The sequence below is a fragment of the Homo sapiens genome, chromosome 5 (assembly GCF_000001405.40).
Source record: "Homo sapiens chromosome 5, GRCh38.p14 Primary Assembly".
NCBI classification, from domain to species: domain Eukaryota; kingdom Metazoa; phylum Chordata; class Mammalia; order Primates; family Hominidae; genus Homo; species Homo sapiens.
Genome location: NC_000005.10, coordinates 117,206,149 through 117,208,625, shown reverse-complemented (window position 1 = coordinate 117,208,625; position 2,477 = coordinate 117,206,149). Strand labels below are relative to the sequence as shown.

Sequence of the window (2,477 nt, the reverse complement as noted above, 5' to 3'; positions counted from 1 at the left end):
GAAAGATCCATGTATATAATTTGAATGAAAGATTGAATAACTAAATGAATGAGGAATGAATGAATGAATGAACTCTAACTTGGCATGAGAGGAGAGTCTCACATAGAAGGCCAGTTTTACATTGTACATGAGAAAATCTTAATTCCTGAGACCACCAGTCTAAAATAATAGCAGATTCTTTCCCCATGTCTTGTAATTTTCTGTCTTAAAGAAATTAGGCATAAAACCACAATTAATAGATACATTTCTGTTCAAAGGGGTCACCTGCTGAATTTCTTGACAGCAGAGGAGCCTGAAGCCAACTTTGATTTTCAAGCCCAGTGGCAAATATGAGTAAATTTGCCATGCGGTTCTGTCCATTTTTGTCCCAGATGAAACAAATTATACCTACTCTAGTTACATCAGATAGAGATGTCATTATTCTTAACCCAGGCTGCACAGAATAATCACCAAGTAAAGTTTTTAAAAATTGCTATTATAAGCTCCATCCCAGACCAATTAAATTAGATTCTCATGGGATAGGACCTAGCCACGTGCATTTTTAAAATGTTTCCCAGGGGCTTCTAATCTGTGGTCTGGACTAAAAAATACTGAATAAACTCATTTATACCTCCTGGCCAGCCAGGATGCAGGTGCTAACCAATGCTTCCCAAACTTCAAGGTGCACACAGGTCACGCAGGGACCTTGCAAAAATGCTGATTCTGATTTAGTAGGTCTAGGGTAGGGCCTGAGATTCTGTCTTGCCAAGAAACTCCAGATGAGGCTATGATGTTGCTGAGCCATATACTACGCTGCAAGTAGCAAGGTGCTAAATCACTCATGAATGGGGACCTCCTACAAGTATTTGAGGAAGAAATGAGTTTTCACACTGCTGATAAAGACATACCTGAGACTGGGCAATTTACAAACAAAAGCAGTTTATTGGACTTACAGCTTCAGGTGGCTGGTGAGGCCTCACAATCATGGCAGAAGATGAAAGGCACGTCTCACTGGCGGCAGACAAGATAAGAAGAGCTTGTGCAGGAAAACTCCCTTTTTAAAACCACCATATCTCGTGAGACTCATTCACTATCACGAGAACAGCACAGGGAAGACCCGCTCCCATAATTCGGCCACCTCCCACCAGGTTCCTCCCACGACATGTGGGAATTGTGGGAGTTACAATTCAAGATGAGATTTGGGTAGACACACACCTGAAGCGTATCTAGATGGATCTCTGGAGAGACAACCTCCCCAGGGGTCACATGCATCAGGCACACACTCAGATCCTGCATAAACATTTTTGCTGTTGAATAATGAAAGACTTAGAAATTGGTGAATGACCACAGCTGTGAGCATCCCAACCAGCTAGCCTGGGCCATCTCCCAGGAAGCCACACAGGCCACAATCAATTCAGCAATTCAAGTGTTAATGTCTGCCACATCAGGGAACCTCTGAGACTCTGCCTCAGCCCTAATGACTTATTTTTTTATTCTGATTGGTCAGTCTTTGCCGAATTGGCTATTAAATCTTTTAAAAATCACTCTTGAGCACCATACGAAGCTATGACCCCTGGAGGGTCAGACCTAGAAAACTGTCTGATTGCTGTCTTGAGGTTGTGTTATGTTGAAAGATAATATATTTAATTACTAATGTAGGTGATTTTGATGAATAAAAAAATGAGATCAGCGAAGTCTCATGATAATAGACAAATTAGGTAAAAAGACAAGGGTTAAGGAAAAAATTTGATCTAACAAAAATGATAAAATAATAATGATTTAATATGCAAGTTCACCAGAAACAGGCAGATTAAATGAGAGGAAACTCTTGGATTAATAAAAAAAAAAAAAAAAAAAAAAAAAAAACTAGAGACTCTGTGAACCTGAAAATAATTAGAAATTTGCACTACTGTCATCAACAGAAATCACAGGCCTAGCTAAAAAAAGACAGTTTATCTGTAACAAGTAATTGCAATGTATCATATGTATTATAATAATCAGTTACTATAAATTAAAGTGGAATATTCAGTTTTAAAAACATATTTTAGGTTGATATTTATTCATGTGTAATTATTTATTTTAAAATCAATTTTCCAGATTAGTATTTTAACTATGTCTCTAAATGTGTAAAGAATTTTAAGAAAAACTAGAAGAAATTTTAGATTTTTACCTTCTGCATATTTCTCCCAAAATAGTCTAACCTAGAAACAAAACAATAACAATAATGAGAAAAAGCAAAACCAACTGAAGATGTATGTCTTGAGTTCTTATAAGACACATCTGAGAAAAAAAATTCGGAGAGTCCTTGTCAACTCCACAACACCTGTTGAATAGAATAAAGCAGGATAGGCTCTCTGTCCTAATGCTACAGTATTTTTATTAGTTTTACCTCTCTAATGTACCTAATTGGGGCCACTGAATCGTTTTAAAGTATTTCATGAACACTGTATGCTTTTAAAGCATCTTTCTTAAAATATATCCATTAGAGTTGTAAAGTG

The 2,477-nt window shown here is 37.1% G+C and overlaps 1 annotated feature.

The window, feature by feature from the left end:
- Nucleotides 1,164-1,664: an enhancer, noted in NCBI's record as "OCT4-NANOG-H3K27ac-H3K4me1 hESC enhancer chr5:116542658-116543158 (GRCh37/hg19 assembly coordinates)". NCBI's record gives its function as "activates a minimal SCP1, AML or CMV promoter by ChIP-STARR-seq in primed H9 embryonic stem cells {active_cell/tissue: H9 hESC(primed)}" and the evidence as "EXISTENCE:reporter gene assay evidence [ECO:0000049][PMID:30033119]".